The following is a 19,450-nucleotide window of genomic DNA, read 5'->3' on the forward strand; positions in this document are numbered from 1 at the left end:
GAGGCGGGGCTCGGGCTGGGGCGGGCCCTATCGGGGGCGGGGCCTGCCGGGGGCGGAGCCGGGGTGGGGGCGGGGCCCAGCGGGGGCGGGACCGGAACGGAGCCGTGCGGCCCCGCGCGCTCGCAGTCTGTCTCCCGCCGTCCCCACGCACGCGTCCCGGCTCACGCGTCCCCCCGCCCGCCCGCCCGCCCGCCCGCCCCCGCTTGTGCCGCCCCTACCAGAGACCCCCAGGAGCAGGATGTCCTTCCAGGGCAAGAAAAGCATCCCCCGGATCACGGTGAGCCCGGTCCCGCTTCGCCCGGCGCCCCCTGCCCGCCGCCCGGAGTGGGGCCTGGACGCCGGGCGGACCCTCCTGGTCTTGTGCGTGGGTGGGGGGTCCCTGCCTTTGCGTCTGGTCCCTGTCCTGGCGCCCGCCCTTCCCTGCTCGGCTCCTTCGCGCCCCAGGGTCCGAGAGTCCCCGCTAGCGCCGCGCAGACCCCCTTAAGGAGCGGGGCGCCCAGGCCCGGCCCGGCCCGGCCCTGCCCGGCCCTGCCGGGCCCTGCCGGGCCCTGCCCGGCCTTGCCCGGCCTTGCCGGCTTCCGGGAGCCTCGGCTGCGCCCGGGGAGAACCCGGGGCCGGGCGGCCTGTCCCTCGGAGCGCTAGCGGCTCCTTTCTCCCACGGCGGTCGGGTGGCGAGGCGGGCGGACGCGGCCCTTTGTTGGCCCGGGCTGGTCCGGGGCGCGGGGAGATGCCGTTCCCGGCGCAGCCCGTGGGTCGCCCGCCCCTTGGACGCACTGGCGCTGCGTCGGGAGCTCTTTGTCCGAGACAAAGCGATTTAGCCCCGGCCGCTCTGGCCGGAGTCCCTGGTGGCCCCGAACCCTTCCAGTAACCTGGGTTCAGCGACTCCAAGGAAAGCGAGCGGTCAAGGGCCACTGGCCGGGAACCCTGGCAGCCCCTGAACCTTCGAGAGCAGAGACCCCTCCCCAACACCCACACGCACCGGCGCGGGAGGTCCCGCTCTGCCAGAAACAAAGCCTCCCCGCTCGGGCGGGGGGAGATGGGGGTGGGAGGAAGGAGGCTTCGGGACCCGGCAGGACCTGGGCGGGGGAGTCCATGGGGTCCCAGACCCGACTCTGGACTTGGCCTCGGCGGGAGGGCCGTGGGGTCTGACCTCTGGCATTAGCTCGAGCCGTGGGCTGTGGGCTCCACTCCCCCAGACTCTGAGCGAGGAAGGAGCCCTCCCCTCTCCAGATGGGAGGGGCTGCTGCCTCCAGAGGGTTCTGCCCGGCTGGGTCTGGTCTTGATGCAGGAGGTCTTGCCAGTCAGCTGGCATGTGGGGGTCGAGTTTGGGGGTGGCAGGAGGACCCCTTCCCAGGGGAGGTCAGGCAACCATGTCAGTGCGGAGGGGCAGCTGCTTCCCGGGAACTTTCACCTCCATCCGGATGAGTGCAGTAAGAAGAGCACAGCCCCACACCCCAGCTGCGTCTCCTCTGGGTTCCAAACCCAGTCTCAGTGCGGGTGCCTGAACACTTGGGCGCCTATGAGCAGAGAGCCCAGACCACACGTCTCCTCAAGCCTCCTTCTGCCCGGTTGCGTTTTCTAGGGCTTCCTTGAAAATGCGTGGGTCCCCTGGGAGGGGTGGAAAGTGAAGAAGAGGGACAGCACCGGGAAGGCAGCCAGGGCCTGATGCGGCCACAGAGGCTCTGCAAATGCATGGTGGTGCCGGGTCAGGGCTGAGCCTGGCGCTCAGCTGGGACTGGGCAGGAGGAGGAGAGGTGCAGCGGCTGGGAACAGACAGCTCTGTAGACCAAGGGTCTAAAACTTCTTCCACAACCAGCCCGAGAGTAAATGTTGTCAGCTTTGCGGACCACGCTGTTCCTGTCTCAGCTGCTTGGCCCTGCCAGGAAAGCAGTCCTGGACATTTAGGAAGTCGATGGGCACCACTGTGTTCCAACAAAACTTCATCTGTGGATGCTGCAGTGTGAACTTCATAGAATTTTTGAGTCATGACATACTCTTGTTATTGTTTTCAGTGAATATACAAGAACGATTCTTAGCCTAGGGCTGTATGAAGAGAGGTAGAGGGTTGGGTCTGGCCTGTGGCATAGTCTGCCAACCGTTTGTAGACTATGGGGTAGAGGTTGACAAGTCACTGGGATCCTGAAAATACAGCCCCACAGTTAGATGTCAGCAGTGAATCCTGTAATGGAGTTCCTAGATAATGAACTCCTTCTCATTCTGAGAGTTTTACCAATTGTGCACTTCAGTTTAATGCTCTTGGCTTCAGACTGACGGTGCGTGAAGGCTCTAGCCCCAGGCTAGGGCCCTGGCCACCTATGGGTGGGCCCTGGAAACCCAGAGCAGGCGGCCGGACCTCCCTGTTAAATGCAGACGGTCAGTCCTGCCGGGTCAGTTGCAGGGCGTGCTGAGGCGCACGCCAGACGGTGGAGGGAAAAGCGTTGCCGAGTCCAGCCCGTGGGCGCGTCCTTCTCCACCTCCTTTCACTCCTTTTTTGTGTTTCTCTCCCCCATTCTCCAATGAGGTCAGATCTTCACCTCTGACGGTCATGCAGAGTCCCATCAGTGACACCCTACTTTCTGCCTAATCTTCTGCTTCCCGGCCATCTGGTAGGATTCTTAGAAGTGGATTTATGACTGCCAAGCACTGGAGTCAATCCCTGTCTAACGCCACAGCTCTGTGCTGCCAGGGCTGACCTACAAAGAGCGGGCCTCACCAGCCTGACGCTCTGTGTCCCACTGGGAGTGCGTCCGAGCTGCACTGGAACCGAGGTCACCCCATCTCTTCCCCATCACCCCCATGGCCTCTTGGTCAGCAAGTCCTGCCCTCCTGACTCCCAGCCTCTCTGGAATCCACTCTCCTCCCGTCCCTTCCCATAGTCCTGTCCCAGAGCCCCTCATCTCACTCAGAAATCACCCCAGCAATGATCCGGCTCCCACTGTTACCTGTCACAAGCTACTTTCTAACACAGCAGCCAAAGGTGATCTCTTTAAAACATCAAACCAGGATTGAAACCTGCTTAAGGCCCCCAGTCAGGGGGCAGCCATGGAGTCCCCAGGCCTACATATCCTGCCCCTGCCAAGCTCTGGGCACCGACTTGCCTCTGGCACCACCACCCCACCAGAAGGTTCCATCCCTCGGCCTCCTCCCAGGTCTGCTGATGGCAGCTCAAGCCCTTTCCTGCCCCAAGGCCAGGCTGCTTCCTGGCTGGAACGCTCGCCATGTCTGCCTTGCCCCTGTATCAGCCACCCTGGCCCCAGAGGTCCTTCTCCCAGCCCCTCTCTCATGGCCCTGCCATGGCGCCCTCACTGTGCTCTGCGCATTCGTCACCGACTGTGATGATCTGTGCACGTGTGTTTTTGCTGCCGTTGGTCTCCCCTCAGTGGGAGGCAGCCTCCTGGGGTGGGGACCATGCCTGTGGGGGCGCTGTCTGCCTCCGCCTCCTGGCACCATCACTGGTCTGTAGTGTTTGGGTGGAACCAAAGTCCAGCTCCGTCCGCTCCCAGCCTCCTCTGCGTGGGTGGAAGACAGGGTGGAGGAGAGCAGGATCTCTGAGGCTGCACAGGAGGCCATGAGGCAGCGTTCGCCTCCCACCTCAGGCTGGGGCTCCTCAATCCAGTGGTAAATCAGAAGATATAAATATGACCTGTGGCACTACCACACTTTCACCAACACGGGCTTTGCCCTCAGCGAGGTCTGAGCAGCAGCTGTGGGGCGTGCGTGGCACTTCCAGGGGCAACTGTTTTTGAGCGCCTGGTGCCACTTCTTGGGGAATAGTAAGCCGCTGCAGGCTTTTGTGCTCGTTTTTACGTCTAGAAATTTTGCCTGAATGTTTCAGTCATAATTTCAGAGGAAGGAGTTGCACCAAGAGTGTTACTGAGTAACTCAGTTTGGAGAAAAATTACCCTTTGTTGTTCCCGATAGAGTGACCGCCTTCTGATCAGAGGTGGGAGGATCGTGAATGACGACCAGTCCTTTTACGCTGATGTGCACGTGGAAGATGGCTTGATAAAGTAAGTTTCCGCCGAAAATGAAAATACGTTCCCAGCTCGTGTGTACACGCTGGTCACGTGGTATCCAGGCAGTTGAAAGTATGTTCCCAGCTCGTGTGTACACGCTGGTCACGTGGTATCCAGGCAGGTGAAAGTATGTTCCCAGCTCGTGTGTACACGCTGGCCACGTGGTATCCAGGCAGTTGAAAGTATGTTCCCAGCTCGTGTGTACACGCTGGTCACATGGTATCCAGGCAGGTGCAAATAGTTCCCAGCTCGTGTGTACACGCTGGCCACGTGGTATCCAGGCAGTTGAAAGTATGTTCCCACCTCTTGTGTACACACTGGTCACGTGGTATCCAGGCAGTTGAAAGTATGTTCCCAGCTCTTGTGTACACACTGGTCACGTGGTATCCAGGCAGGTGCAAATAGTTCCCAGCTCGTGTGTACACGCTGGCCACGTGGTATCCAGGCAGTTGAAAGTATGTTCCCACCTCTTGTGTACACACTGGCCACGTGGTATCCAGGCAGTTGAAAGTATGTTCCCACCTCTTGTGTACACACTGGTCACGTGGTATCCAGGCAGGTGCAAATAGTTCCCAGCTCGTGTGTACACGCTGGTCATGTGGTATCCAGGCAGATGAAAGTATGTTCCCAGCTCGTGTGTACACGCTGGTCATGTGGTATCCAGGCAGATGAACATAGTTCCCAGCTCGTGTGTACACGCTGGTCACATGGTATCCAGGCAGGTTAAAGTATGTTCCCAGCTCGTGTGTACACGCTGGTCACGTGGTATCCAGGCAGGTGAAAGTATGTTCCCAGCTCGTGTGTACACGCTGGTCACGTGGTATCCAGGCAGGTGAAAGTATGTTCCCAGCTCGTGTGTACACGCTGGTCACGTGGTATCCAGGCAGGTGAAAGTATGTTCCCACCTCTTGTGTACACACTGGTCACGTGGTATCCAGGCAGGTGCAAATAGTTCCCAGCTCGTGTGTACACACTGGTCACGTGGTATCCAGGCAGTTGAAAGTATGTTCCCAGCTCGTGTGTACACGCTGGTCATGTGGTATCCAGGCAGATGAACATAGTTCCCAGCTCGTGTGTACACGCTGGTCACATGGTATCCAGGCAGGTGAAAGTATGTTCCCAGCTCGTGTGTACACGCTGGTCACGTGGTATCCAGGCAGGTGAAAGTATGTTCCCAGCTCGTGTGTACACGCTGGTCACGTGGTATCCAGGCAGGTGAAAATAGTTCCCAGCTCTTGTGTACACACTGGTCACGTGGTATCCAGGCATTGACTTTTGGGTGAAATCCATGGGAGAGGTTTCTTCTTTTCTAAACCCATCCTTGGCAGCAGTAAGCTGGTGGCCACTGTCAGAGCCCCGGCCTTTGGTGAGGGCAGAGGTATGTTGGGTGGCTGTGGGCGAAAGCAGGACACCAGCTTCCACGTTTCTTTGTTCATCGCAGCACTTAGTATGGTGCCTGGCTCATAGCAGGTGCTTCCTAAATACTGGTGCCCACATCTATTAGCGCACCTGCTTCCGTTTGTCAAGCTGCTCCGTCCTCTAGTCAAAAAAGTACCAACCAGGGACCTGAGTGGAAAACCACAGGGCGTGGCGTCTGCGTGAGGCTGGACCCTGCAGTGACCGTCCTGAGCTGCGCTGAGTGATGCTTTGCTCCCTGGCACTCCCGAGGAGCTAGTCCAGTGAGTGGCCGGCCGTGCTGGCCTTTTCCTCGGGGTCTGGAGCTCATGCAAACCCTTTAGCTCTGCTGCATTGCTGGGAGCCCATCTGGGCTCTGACCTGGGCTCCCTGTAACCAGTGAAATCTCTGCTGCTTTCAGACAAATCGGAGAAAACCTCATCGTCCCTGGGGGCATCAAGACCATTGACGCCCACGGCCTGATGGTCCTTCCTGGTGGCGTTGACGTCCACACAAGGCTGCAGATGCCTGTCCTGGGCATGACACCGGCTGACGACTTCTGTCAGGGCACCAAGGCAGCGCTAGCAGGAGGAACCACCATGATCTGTGAGTGTCTGGGTCTCCTCCTCTACAGGGGGCAGCCAGCGTCTGCTGCCCCTCTCTCTGGCCAGGTGTGTGTGGGAGGAGGAGTGTCGCCTAAAGGTGCCTTTCTCAGCTGTCTGCCTTTATTGCATCTGTCTGAGAACCTGGAGTGCTTTTCTAATCCCTGTGTCTCACTCTGGGTGTTTCTGTGTGGCCAGTGCTGGAATGCTCCTGGGATTTCCAGGACTGGAAATCAGTGACTGACGTGTGTCCACTTGTTCTTCCCTGGGCACTAGTAGCCAGCTCGGAGTTGGGGGTTGGAAAACTCAAATGCCTTGGGCGAGGGGAGGGGTCATGCTGTCTGAAATGCCAGATACATGTTTGACCTTGAGCCACATGCCTCGGAAGCTTCATATCTGGAAGGTTCTTGCTCATGTCAAGAAGAGTTAAGGATGGAGACTGTATTTTTAGAAAAAGATAAAAGCAATGCTCATTATTATCCCATCAAAAAATAACCCGAGTTGCTATTTCTGTAGTGCTGGCTGCGTGCCCGGCACGGGCTCTATCCTGACACCCATCGGCTCACATGCTCTCCTCCTAAAACCCTCTGAGCTCAGCCCAGCTGGGCTCAGCTAAGCCTAGTTTAACAGGTGGGTGAGTGGAGTCCGCCTGCCCACCACGAGCACGTGGTGAGCTCAGGAGGCAGGACGAGGCCTCAGAGCCTAGACCTTGACTGCACTGTGTGGCCTTGGGTGCCATTCACTCTGCGGCGTCCGTCTGGCACAGACATCGCTGCTGTGGTTGAGAACGGGTCTGAGGAGCCTAGCTGAACCTGGTTGTATGGTTTTCTAGCTGTGTGACTCCAGATAAACTCAGCTGGCTTTTATAAGTCACACTTTGTTGATCTGTAAAACAGAACACTGGCCTCATGAGCTTCTGAGGCATGTGTGAGTTAATGCACGTCAGTTGCTTTGTGTCCCTGGCACACCGGGGAGGGCAGCTCTGAGGACCCTGAAACACCTCGCGGGACATTTAGCCATTACCAAATCACAGCTTGGTTTGGTTTACTCAGCCACAAAGGGAGAAAACACCAGCAGCAGCCCATCTTGCAGTCTGAGGAGACTGGCCACTGCTCGCGCCCTTCAGGGGGCGGCCCAAGCCGGTCAGGACGTCTGCACAGTCGAGACCACCTGCCTCGTGCCAGTGCCAAGGCACCCGGCCAGCTGTGGGTCCCCGCGAAGACAGAGAAACACCACAGACACGAGGCTGGCCTCTATCCTGCCTCTGTCTTCCTCGGCCTGCAGGCCCAGGCTGGCACTGTGGGTGGCTGCAGGGAGGCTGGGTGCCCACTTCATCTTGTTGGGATGAGTAGGGGCCCGAGGGAGGGCTGTGCTGGAGGAAGGCATCCCTGGCGGGTGCGCCCTCCTGTCCGACCACCTGGCTTGGAGCTGTGTCTGGCTGCACCAGGAGAGGCCAGTGAGCAGTGTTCGGGCCTTGGGTGTGTGGTTGGTGGGGCAGCAGCATGATGGCTGTGTGCAGGGGGCAGGATGGCCCCTTTCAAGTCTTGTGGGGCACTCGGGAAACCAGCCCAGCTCCCACTGTTCTAGGAAGGCACCCAGAGGTGGGGCCCAGCACCTTGGACAGCGCACTGGCCCAGCCTGGCCCTCGGGGTGCCTCACCCAGCCTGACAGGAGCTGGAGGCAGGGCAAAGCCCCGACCTCCTGTGCTCCTCCAAGTGCGATGTGGGAGTAGGGATGGTTTGGGGTGGGGCTTTTCCTTTCTCCCCTCTCCCTTCTGTGCTCAGAGGGTGGCTGGGGCACTTGGGACAGAAGGTTCCTCTTTGAACAAAGCAATAGAACGGGTTCGTGGCAGCGTCATCCTCTCTCAGGGGCCGGTGGCCTCTGCTGTGTCTCCCTCAAATGGTCCTCTGGTCTCTTGGGAACATGAAACAGAATCTCCCATGGAGGAGGCAGAGGTGGGAACCAGGGACCAGTGGGGGAAGCTGCTGACCATGCTGCCTTCACAGTGGACCACGTCTTCCCCGACACGGGTGTGAGCCTGCTGGCGGCCTACGAGCAGTGGCGGGAGCGGGCGGACAGCGCGGCCTGCTGCGACTACTCCCTGCACGTGGACATCACCCGATGGCATGAGAGCATCAAGGAGGAGCTGGAGGCCCTGGTCAAGGAGAAGGGTGAGGGTGGCTGGAGGGGCTGGAGGGCGGGCATGGAGCCTGGTGGAGGAGCCTCTGCCCTGACCCTGTGTTCTGCCGATGGTGCTGCTCTGCCCTGGGGGCTGGTGTCCAGGTTTGAGTGGAAGTTGGAGAAAAGTCATTTGAAGGCCCATCCCACCTTCAAAGGCTCTAGACCAAGAGGCCTTCTCTTTCCCAATCCGAGGGACCCATCCTGGAATTGTCCTCCTGATGAAAAGATGCAGCAGATCCGTCGTTTCTTAGAAGAGAGGCTGCCCAGGGTGGAAGAGCAGCAGTTCCCCAGTCTCCTAGCATCTGGGGATCCTTTCAGAGGGAGACCCTTTTAAATCCATATCTCTTTGTTGTCACCAATGCTAAAACAGATCAGTCTATAAACAAGTTAACATTTTTCCCCACAAAAAACCCTGAAGCTAAAACTACATCAGAGTTTCATAGTGGGTTTGACAAGTGGCATATCTGATTATAGCCGATCTCTCCTAATCTGAGTCCGGCCCACAGCTTCCAGCCTGGAGGTGGGGGCGGGATGGGGTCCAAGCAAGCCCAGGAGCCTGTCAAGGCCCTGGCACTCCCAGGGATGCCTGCTACCCGTCCCCTACAGACCTGAAGGAGGCAGGGGCATTTCTTCAAGGCCATTCCTCTGGGTTCCCATTCCTCAGAGGGTGACGGTCATCACATAGGTGCCCCTTGATGTCAGGACCCCTCACCTCCCTGCCCGGGGGCTGGTGGAGCCCGTCAATCCTCAGTCCCTGGGCCTCACTCCAGGCAGCTGCTCTGCCACCCATGCTGTTCTGTGAGTGGACTCGGGAGGCCTGTGGCCTCGTGTCTCAGAGCGGAGGTGGAAGCAGGGCCTGCACCTCCCCTCACCCTGTGTTGGCAGTGCTGGGGCCTCTGCTCCCCAAGAGCCATGCAGGAGTCCTCAGTCCTGTGCCCACGGGGTAGTGTTGCAGGGACAGCACTGCGCAACCCAAACATGACCTTCCTCAGACACTCGGGGGCAGGCCTCAAACTCCAGGTCACATACAGGTTGCTACCTGGAGGGATGGCTTGTGGGGCACAGTGTGACTCAGTTTCCCCAGTGTGCCTTAGCTTGTCACACTAGCACTTTCCACCCAGCGAGGAGGAGATGCCATGGGTTGGGTGGGCTTGAGTGATGGGAGGTTGGGATCCTGCCTCCAGGCCCAGGCCGGTCCCCACACAAGTTCCGAGTCCTGGGGGAGGTGGATGGGCTGTGGCTGCCCAGGAAACAGGAGAGCTCAGCCCTCTTCCTGTTTGGGCCCCAACGTCAGAGGCAGCCCCTCATCCTTCTGCTCGTCCTAAGGGCCCAGCCCTGAGATCTGGGTGGTCCCACAAGCCTGCACTGTGAGCCAGGCATGGCAAGTGGGGCTCCAAGGCCCTGCAGGCAGGTGCTGGATGTGCTGGACGGCCAGAATGCAGGTCCCCAGCACAGCGCGGCCCTGGCCGCACTTCCAGGAGGGAGCCAGTGGAACCCAGGCCGAGAGCCCAGGCACAGCGGCTCTTCCAGTAACGGGGGGTCTGCTGGATGGGTGTGAGGGGTTCTCACCTGCATTTGCCGCTGGGTGGACAATCAGTTCCTAACCCGGAGCACAGGAGCAGGCAAGGAGGGCCTGGATGTAGCTGCCTCCGCCTCACTTCCCAGCTTGCTGGTGTGTGCATGGAAGCGGGGGACTGCTCCCAGGGCTGGCAAGCCAGTGAGGGAAGCACTGCGGGGGAGGGGCCCAAGACCCCCAACCCTCCAGTGGGCAGGAGCAGCAGAGGCTCCGTAGGTTGTCTGACTGGTGATGGCTGAGCCTCTGACCCCTGCCTCTTCTCCAGGTGTGAACTCCTTCCTGGTCTTCATGGCATACAAGGACCGGTGCCAGTGCAGCGACAGCCAGGTAAGGGCAGGCGTGGGGAACGGAGTGGGCAGGTATATCCCAGGCCGCTGCTGGTGCAGGCGCAGCCCCACCCAGGACGCCACCACTTCTCTTCCCAGATGTACGAGATCTTCAGCATCATCCGGGACCTGGGGGCCTTGGCCCAGGTGCACGCTGAGAACGGGGACATCGTGGAGGAGGTGCCGTGGGGCAGGGCTGCCGTGGGGCAGGCACAGGGGCTGCCGTGGGGCAGGGGCTGCCTGTGGGGTGGGGCAGGGGTCTGAGGGTGACTTTCATGATACGCAGACATCAGCACAGAATCCCACAAAACCTTGAGGGAGGGTCATAGCTTACCCCGAGTCAAAGGTCAACCAGTGAGTTAGAGAGACTGGGGGGTGATGGGGAGCTTTGAGGCCATAAAACAGCTTCTCCTTGATCAACACTTCTTATCCAAAATACCTCAAAAGCAAAGTGTCAGCCCCAGGGATCGAGGCCCCTCCTGTGGAGCGGGGTACCCGCTGGGGGTTGGGTTACCACCTTCCTTCCAGCCAAGGGCACCCATGTTGACAGGGCCACATCCTTCAGACACATCCCACCGGGCTGGGGAGGGCCTGAGCCCGCGTGCAGTGGCGCCGACCCCCCAGGCCCTTGGGGCTGAGGCAACCTTGGCCCTGCACCTTGTTTTCCCCTCTAGCAGAGGCACCCACAGGTACAGATGGAGTTCAGAGAGTGGGCCACCCCATACCCGTGGGACCTCAGTGGGGGTCACCACACAGGACACACCTCCCTGACACTGCAAACCCACAGTGAGACTTCGTGGGACGGGACGGGCTCTGCCCACCTCCTGAGCTCTACAGGAAGGTGGTGGCACTCGGGCAGGGGCATGTGGGGGGTCCCCAGTGTCCTCGTCCACCCGTCCAGCTGTGAGGGCATCGGGGCATCACAAACACTTCTGTGGCCCAAGGCCAGGCCCCGGCTGCACCGTCAGGAGGTTGTCCTGGGTCTAGGGATGCTCCACATACAGCGGGAGGGAGCCTCAGTATTGGGGCTGCTGCTTCTGGCCGGTACCATGTCTTCCCTGACACGAGCGGATGCCGTAGTGCAAATCTGCACGGAAAGGCAGTGCTGGAGGAAGGAGTGGTCGTCCATTCCTGACCTGCAGAGCCCTCCCTGCCTGTGCACACCCCCACACATGCCCCCGCTGGGGGAGGCAGCGTGATGGGCATAGTGGTGGGAGGGTGGGGTCTTGGTGCCATCAGTCAGGAGCCCTGCAGCCTTGGGGGAGCCACTTTCCCCTATCCGAGCTGTCCCCTCCTTGGTAACTCAGGGAGCAGGAATCACACCTCTCCAAGCCCCTCTGCCCTCTATTCTGAGTGTTCTGTGGCTGGGAAATTCTGGGAGGCCTGGGGGTCCAGGACCACTTGGGGAATGGGGCCTCCCAGCCTTGGGCTTAGCATCCAAGGCCCAGGCTCCCTTCAGGGCTTGGAGCGAGGCATCCTGTTGGTTTCTTTAGGAGCAGAAGCGGTTGCTGGAGCTCGGCATCACTGGCCCCGAGGGCCACGTGCTCAGCCACCCCGAGGAGGTAAGATCCCAGGGCACCACAGCACACCCGAGCCAACTCCGCCCAGACCACTGCTGCCTGGGGCTGTGCTGACCCTGGCCCTGGGCTCCTGGCCCTGCCACTGTGCTCGCCCCGACCTCATCTGGGAGGCGTGAATCCTCCCCGTGCCAGGCACTTGTCCTCCATCCCCCCACAACCCTACAGCCTGTACCCGAGGCCCAGAAGGTGGCGTGGGCAGGCCCAGGCACTGAGCCCGAGGCTGGGCCGCTCCTACTAGGCTGCCCTGAGCCTGGGATCCCATGGGTGACACCTGGGCATCCCCATTGCCCACACTGGTCTGGAGCCCCAGGGCCCTCGTGTGGCCTCATCCCTCTCATCTCGTCCCCAGGTGGAGGCTGAGGCGGTGTACCGAGCTGTCACCATCGCCAAGCAGGCAAACTGCCCGCTGTACGTCACCAAGGTGATGAGCAAGGGGGCGGCCGACGCCATCGCTCAGGCCAAGCGCAGAGGTGAGCACCCAGCCCCGCCTCTGATGCCGAGGGGCCATGGTCTCGGCCTCCTGGGTGCAGCCCTGGGGAGATGCAGGTTCCCTGAGTCCCTGCATCGGGGCGGGGCACTGGACCCTGAGTCCCTGCATCGGGGTGGGGCACTGGACCCTGAGTCCCTGCATCGGGGCAGGGGCTGGACCTGAGTTTCCAGCCTTGCTGGAGCAGCAGCTGCTCACCAGGGGCCCTGAGGCAAAACATGGGGACGCTCATCCCATTTCCAGTGGGGGTGGGTGTGGGGAGAATGGAATGATGAGGAGGGTCTCCAAGAGAGAATTCCAGTTCCAACAAGGAGGCCCTCCCTACATTGCTATTTGCTGTGTCCAGAGCCGGGGTGCTACCTGCCCACAGAATGCCAGCCAGCTGGAGCCTGGCACTGCAGAGAGCCTCAGGCCTGGGCGGGGGGGTGCCACCCAGAGCTGTGATTGGCAGCGGCTTGACTGTGGTGTCCCCCAGAGGCTACTGGGCTCAGAGGGTCCATGGAGCCCCAGCAATCACTGGGGCTGGAGAGGGCCAAGGATCCAGGCACAGAACCCAGGTGACGGGTAAATGAGGGGGCATCCCCTAGGCGGCCTCTGGATCTGGTCTGGTTTCCCCTCCTCCTGCTGTCCGCACTGAGTCCTGAGAGACCTCGTTTTCTGGGCCTGCCTGGGGCTGTGCAGGTCCCTGGGCAGGGTGGGGGGCGGGGTGGTGGTGGTGGTGGGTGGTGCCCTTCTATGTGTTTCCTGCATCGAGGGTTGAAACTGAAACCCACTCAGTTAACTGGGAAAAGGACTCTGAGGCGTGCAGGTGAATGGGGGTCTGCAGGGGTGAGGCCCGGGCCTCACTCAGGACACCAAGCAGCCTCGGGGCAGCAGGCCAGGCCCTTCTCAGGGGTACCCCACCCGCCAGGCTCTTCTCGGGGGGTGCCCCACCCCACCTGGGAGCATTTCTCCCCCACCCACTGGTGGGAGCTGCCTCAGCTGTGAGCTGGAACCCTGGTGAGGCCATGGCCAGGGCACCCCCGGCCAGTCAGCCGCCATGCAGTTCACTGTGCCTCGCAGCCCACAGGCACGCCCTGGCCCCGCTGGAGTGCCCGGGGTCCTGGGGTGGGGTGTGGGCAGAGAGAGGACTTGGCGTCCGCAGGCCAGACTCCCTTTCCCAGAAGGACCCCCAGGGCCAACCACGTCTGCCCGCGACCCAGGCCTCTGCCCCACTTCCTGCCCAGGGCCAGGGACTCTAGACTGGGCACAAGCTGTCCCAGGCAAGGAAAGTGAGGGGCAGTCGTGGGTGTCAGCAGCAGCAGTTCTCGGGGCCCCAGGGGGTGCAGGTGGTCGGTGGGGCACCTCTCATGGGCCTCGTGCTGCAGGGGTGGTCGTGTTTGGGGAGCCCATCACCGCCAGCCTGGGCACCGACGGTTCACACTACTGGAGCAAGAACTGGGCCAAGGCCGCAGCCTTCGTCACATCACCCCCTGTCAACCCAGACCCCACCACGGCGGACCACCTCACCTGCTTGCTGTCCAGGTAAGCAGCCTCTCCAGGTGGCCCCAGGTTGGCCGCCCGCTGCACACCCTGCCAAGGCTGTGGCCCCGACACCCCAGGCCTCTCCCACGGCTCCCATAGGGCAGCCCGGACAGTGGCGGGTGGGGAAGTCTGAGCCCTTTGGTCCCAGCGGGGGCTCCCCTGGCAGGAACCAGTCCCCGCTCCCCTGCACAGAGGCACCAGCTCTGCCCAGCGAGAGCCACTCAGATGACCTCTAGCCCCTGCGGCTGTGCTGGCCAAGGGGGCTGGAGCTGACCTGGCCTCTGCCGGCTCAGGAAGGCCAGGACCCTCTGACCCTGGCTTGTTTCCAGCGGGGACCTCCAGGTGACAGGCAGCGCCCACTGCACCTTCACCACTGCCCAGAAGGCTGTGGGCAAGGACAACTTCGCGCTGATCCCCGAGGGCACCAACGGCATTGAGGAGCGCATGTCGATGGTCTGGGAGAAATGTGTGGTGAGCACAGGCCTGGCCGGGGCACGCCGTCTGGGGAGCGGCTGTGGGCGGGATTGTGATGGCTGGTCAGAAGGGAGCCCATCTAACCAGTGCACACTCGTGAAACAGATCAGAGCACACGGGCTCCGGGGTGGCGGATTCCCCACCCAGGGCGCCTCAGACACGTGGTTCTGGCCCCTCCAGATGAGACTCCAACAGCAACAGGGGCAGCTGGTAGCCCCCCACCCCTCAGCAGACTCTAGTGTTGCCCGGACACTGTGTTTGCCCAGGGGTCAGCATGGGGTCTCCACGCTGTGATGTTAGTGCTCCCCCGCGATGCCCTCACGACCCGTCGCACACCGCCCTGTCCTGCGCCCTCCCGCATCCTCAGCCCCACCTCCCCGGGCAACTGAGCTCTTCCCCTCAGCTGCTCCTGCCTTCCCAGCCTCCAGGGCTCCCCAAGGAGACTGTCACGTCCTTCAGGGGACACAGGTGTTGCCACTGAAGCTCCACTCTCGCTGAACCTTCGTGGAAGCTTTACCCACAAAGTGAATGCAGAAAGGCTTCGCCCAGGAAGGGGCAGACCAGCAGGCATCACTGAGATGGGCTCCCTGACTCACCAGTGCAGCGTTCTTACCCCAGGGGTTACTCAGGCGTTCTTACCCTGAGTGTTGCCATGGCGAGGGCCGTGGCTGGAGCCCTGTCCTGATCTTGGCTGCCTGGGTGGCACTCTAGTGCCCGTCTTCACGGGGGCCTGGTATCCGTCTTTGTGGGGTCCCAGCGGTCCAGCATCTGACCTGGCAGGGGCCCCGTGTCCTGCCGTCCAACCTTGTGGGGGGCCTGGTGGTCCAGCGTCTGTCCTCACGGGGGCCTGGTGACCTGGCATCCATCCTTGTGGGGTCCTGGTGGCCCAGTGTCTGTCCTCGCGCAAGCCTCACCCCAACCCCACCCGTCGCCCTCAGCTCAGCCTTCTTGTTCCCCAGGCCTCTGGGAAGATGGACGAGAATGAGTTCGTCGCGGTGACCAGTACAAATGCTGCCAAAATCTTCAATTTTTACCCAAGGAAGGGGCGAGTGGCTGTGGGCTCTGACGCTGACCTGGTCATATGGAACCCCAAGGCCACCAAGATCATCTCTGCCAAGACCCACAATCTGGTAAGAGAAGGCGGCTGTAAGTCAGGGTTGGCCTTTGTGGGGCCGGGACCCCAGGGCAGCCTTCCCAGGAGAGGCGCAGGACAGAGGCCCACGTGGCAGCAGCAGTGGCCTCAGCCATCCCAGGGCCGTCCACACAGCCTGTCCCAGGCCAGACACTGAAATGGGCCCTGTCCACGTCACCTCGCTGCGTGGCCGCTGCATCTGTGGTCCCCTTGTGCCATGGAGGAGGCTGGGGCAGAGCGGTGCCGTGTGCACCTGCCTAGCCAAGGGAGAAGTGACCCTCCCTGCCTGCCCACGCCTGTCCCCTTTGTCCTCGAGAGAAACGGGACTCAGAAACGAGGTCCGTAGGCCGAGGGGGGGCATTCCTCCCGAGTTCCAACCCCTCAGTTCCAGCATCTTGCTAGGGGCTCAGTGTAGGCACACCGGGCCTGCTCCACGCTGGGCGGCCACAGTGCTCCAGCGGCTCAACGGGGATGGGACTGTTGGGCCCCAGCGTGGAGGCACTGGACCCTCGGGCCTCTCTCCCCAGAACGTGGAGTACAACATCTTCGAGGGAGTGGAGTGCCGGGGAGCGCCTGCCGTGGTCATAAGTCAGGGCCGAGTGGCGCTGGAGGACGGGAAGATGTTTGTCACCCCGGGGGCGGGCCGCTTCGTCCCTCGGAAAACATTCCCGGACTTTGTCTACAAGAGGATCAAAGCTCGCAACAGGGTAGGGCGGCACCCGCAAGGGTGTTGTGCAGGTAGGCAGGTGGGCGCTGAGTTCTAGGCCCAGAACGCACCCCTGGTCAACCTGGCCCGGCCTCCCGAGGGGTCAGGAAGACAGAGCGGGGCCGCTGCTTGCCCAGGGCCCTGGTGGGTCTAAGTGGAGAAGAGCCTGCTCCCGGAAGATGGCAGGGGAGGCCCCCATGGCACTGGGACCTTCAGGCCCTGGATCAGCTCTGCAAGTGCCTGTGAACGGCAGCTGGGTCCCACCCAAGTCATCCACGGTTGTTAGAGAAAATACAGATATAAAGTGAGCAGAAATCTAGCTCCCCACGGGAGCTGCCCAGTTGGACCTCAGTGTGGGTCCTTCTGGGATTCCCCATGGACAGACGTGCACGCTGATTTGTGGACTGGGGCGTGTGCTCCTCTCCACATGGGCTCTCAGGAGCTCAGCCACGGGAGCCCCCCCCCCATGGCCTTCCAGTCTCTTACTGTGGTGACGCCACGCTTGCCCGGCATCATCCGTGTCTGACGGTGCAGCAGGTGTGGTCTCCCCAGACCACCAGGTGCTTCACACACGCACAGGGGCACTCGCAGTGGCGTCTGTGCACACACAAGTGCACGTGGGGCCTCGGAGGGAGGTTGAGCATGTGCACCTGTGTTGGTAAGACTGAGGGGAGGGACGTTTGCACACACATGCAGATGGGACCGCAGGCGGGCATTATACACGTATGGGGAGGACTGCAAGGAGGGAGGCGTGTGTGAACTTGGGTTGAGCACCCCCCCAGGGCAGCCCCAAATTCCTGAAGCTGGCACTGGAGAGGCGCAGAGCAGGCCCAGCCCTCCAGCTGCCCATGCTCAGCCCCTCATGCCCCATCTCTGGCCCCACAGCTGCCCAGGCTCAGCCCCTCATGCCCTGTCTCTGCCCCCACCCCCCCGGCAGCTGGCGGAGATCCACGGTGTGCCCCGTGGACTGTATGACGGGCCCGTCCACGAGGTGATGGTGCCTGCCAAGCCAGGGAGTGGCGCTCCGGCCCGCGCGTCCTGCCCAGGCAAGATCTCCGTCCCTCCTGTGCGCAACCTACATCAGTCGGGGTTCAGCCTATCTGGTGAGTTGGGCCTGGGGCACCAGTGGGGGTGAGGGGCTCTGCCGGAGCATCCAGGGCCTCAGGTACCAGGGCCCAGCCTGTGCCCAGAGGGGCTGCACACGGAAGGCACCCAGCTGGGGACTGGGGCAGGAGATGCTGCTGGGGGTGTTGTGGGGGCCAAGGGCTGAGCCCAGTTAGGGAGGCCCCTCCTGCCCGCTGTCTGCCCAGGGCAGCTGTGATGAACCCTCACCTTCAAGACAGTGGCACTGGGGTGAGGCTGTCACATGGAACCCAGGAGTGAGCATGGATCCAGCCTCAGGGGAGGTGGGAGGCCTTGACGAGGATCTCAGGATCATGTGGAATCCAGGTCCCCACCCAGCAGGCCCCAGAACCAAGCGTGAGGCACAAGGGAGGGTCTGAGCTGTGTCCCGGGGCCTGGAGGGATACACGAGAATGCCTGGGAGGGCTCAGGCTGCCAGGGTCCGGCCTCTGGCGTCGCTTCTGGTGCATTCTCCGGACCCAGGAAGGTGATAGCAAAGCCCTGCTCACCTCCTGGGGACTCAGGCCTGGGGGCAGGTCCCTGAGAACCCGGCACTGTCTGGGAGGCCAGGGGCAGCCTTTCATCACCCGGAACCCAGAGCAGGGACGAGGCAGGACTGGCCCGGGTTCCTCTCGGGACAGGAAGGGCTTCCTGCAGCCCACAGTCCCCGCAGGTTTCATGATCTCCTGGGCAGCCTCACCTGCACCCCGGGCCTCAGGGATGGGAGTCCTGCCGGGCACCTGGTCTGCTTGGCCTTCTGGTGGTGGCAGGTGTGCGGGGGCTCTGCAGTCCTGGCCCCACTGACGCAGCCACTGACTCTGCCTCACGCCTTGAATAGAAGGGCCCCTGCCCCTGCCTCATTCTCCCCTGCCCATCTGTGCCCTTTCTTCAGGGTCTCAGGCTGATGACCACATCGCCCGACGCACAGCACAGAAGATCATGGCACCACCTGGCGGCCGCTCCAACATCACCTCTCTCTCCTAGACGCCCAGGACCGGCCCTGTGAGCCGTGCTGGCCCCACCCGAGGCCGCGGGGGCCCCAGGGCACTCGCCCCCCTCCTTAGCATTTTCTTTTGTAGAAGTTTCTCGAAGGTGCTTGGCGGTCTTGCCTTCCCCCTCCCCACAGGCTCTCCTTGTGGGGTCCCAGGTCCTGCTGCCAAGAGCCCCTCAAGAGAAGGGCTGAACCTGGGGAGATGTCACTGCCAGGGTGAGGTGGAGCCACATGGCAGGGACAATGCCGGCAGCCTGAGCCCAGGCACCCCAGTGCCCGCTGGGCCCAGCCTGGGGACAGGGAACCTGCCGGGCTCACAGTGTGGGAGCAGCTGGACACCAGGCTTCTTGGTGAACCGGCGAGGGGCCGAGTCCCGCCTGGTGGGCATTTGCCGCCGCCTCCCCACCACCAGTCACTGCCTCGCAGAGCCCTACACTCCCGCAGCCGCTCCTCAGAGGCCTGTGCCCATCGCAGGCCTGGGAGGAAAGTGGGCGCAGAGCCCTCCTGCTCACACAGCTGCTGAGACTTCAGGGACCCATCAGAACTTGGTGCAGCACAGCCCCGCCCGTGGAGGGTCCCTTTTACGCACCCCAAGGCCCACACCTAAGCTTCCATGTAGCCCTCATCCAGGGAAGTTTTGCGATCCTTTAGGAAGACACTGTCCTCTTATTACAGATTGTGTATTTCCGTAGGCTTCTTAGTAGCAGCTTTGTACACTGAGGACACTGTAGCCAGGAACCTGTGCATGCCACCCACCGCCTGGACAGGCAGTCATCCTGCCTCTGATGTGAATCAGGCCCATTAAAGACGTCTGGGTTTGAAGCCGCCTGTGCATGGAAGGAAGGCCCCGTCTCCTCTCCCCCACGCCGTCTCTGCACAGGCGGGGCCTGGCTGGCTGTGGGCTGGTCCGACGACTCCTGCAGCCGCAGCTCTTCTCCCCTCAATGGCAGGGAGGAGCGCACCCTCTCACAGGGAAGAGGGCCGGCAGGGCAGCCAACATCCAGGGCGGGGCAGAGGGCAGCCAACATCCAGGGCGGGACAGAGGCCCCCCCCCCCCCCCGCCTACATTCTCACCGGACAGCCCGAGCCACCCCAGAAGGCCGGGGAGCATGCACGGGAGTGTGTGGAAGTGAAGCACACACCACCGCCACCCAGGTGGGCGCTGCTCACAGACGCAGGCCCAGCACTCAAGGCCGGGCAGCTATGAGGCTGACCCGAGCCCCCGGTGTGTGACTGCGGTGCTGGCGCGTGCTGTGTCTCAAAGGGTGCGTGGACGTTCCCAGACGGTTGTCCTCATCCCAAGAGCGGGGCCTGGTCGCAGTCACTGGGCACTCGCTG

General features: G+C 62.0%; 1 protein-coding gene across 1 annotated transcript, besides 1 other annotated feature; it reads left to right on the plus strand.

Annotated features, from left to right (window-relative positions):
• Positions 1 to 122: 122 nt before the first annotated feature.
• On the plus strand, positions 123 to 18,934 carry DPYSL4 (dihydropyrimidinase like 4). Its single transcript, NM_006426.3, has 14 exons — positions 123 to 277; positions 3,922 to 4,010; positions 5,833 to 6,017; positions 8,020 to 8,184; positions 10,036 to 10,097; positions 10,196 to 10,276; positions 11,590 to 11,658; positions 12,026 to 12,146; positions 13,531 to 13,687; positions 14,017 to 14,158; positions 15,121 to 15,291; positions 15,821 to 16,000; positions 16,937 to 17,102; positions 18,014 to 18,934. Exons 1-14 carry the CDS (start codon positions 239 to 241, stop codon positions 18,103 to 18,105), a joined length of 1,719 nt encoding a protein of 572 aa, NP_006417.2. The 5' UTR covers positions 123 to 238; the 3' UTR covers positions 18,106 to 18,934.
• Positions 842 to 1,343: an enhancer, noted in NCBI's record as "H3K4me1 hESC enhancer chr10:134001171-134001672 (GRCh37/hg19 assembly coordinates)". NCBI's record gives its function as "activates a minimal SCP1, AML or CMV promoter by ChIP-STARR-seq in naive H9 embryonic stem cells {active_cell/tissue: H9 hESC(naive)}" and the evidence as "EXISTENCE:reporter gene assay evidence [ECO:0000049][PMID:30033119]".
• Positions 18,935 to 19,450: the final 516 nt, after the last annotated feature.

This window comes from Homo sapiens, chromosome 10, assembly GCF_000001405.40.
Source record: "Homo sapiens chromosome 10, GRCh38.p14 Primary Assembly".
Taxonomy (NCBI): domain Eukaryota; kingdom Metazoa; phylum Chordata; class Mammalia; order Primates; family Hominidae; genus Homo; species Homo sapiens.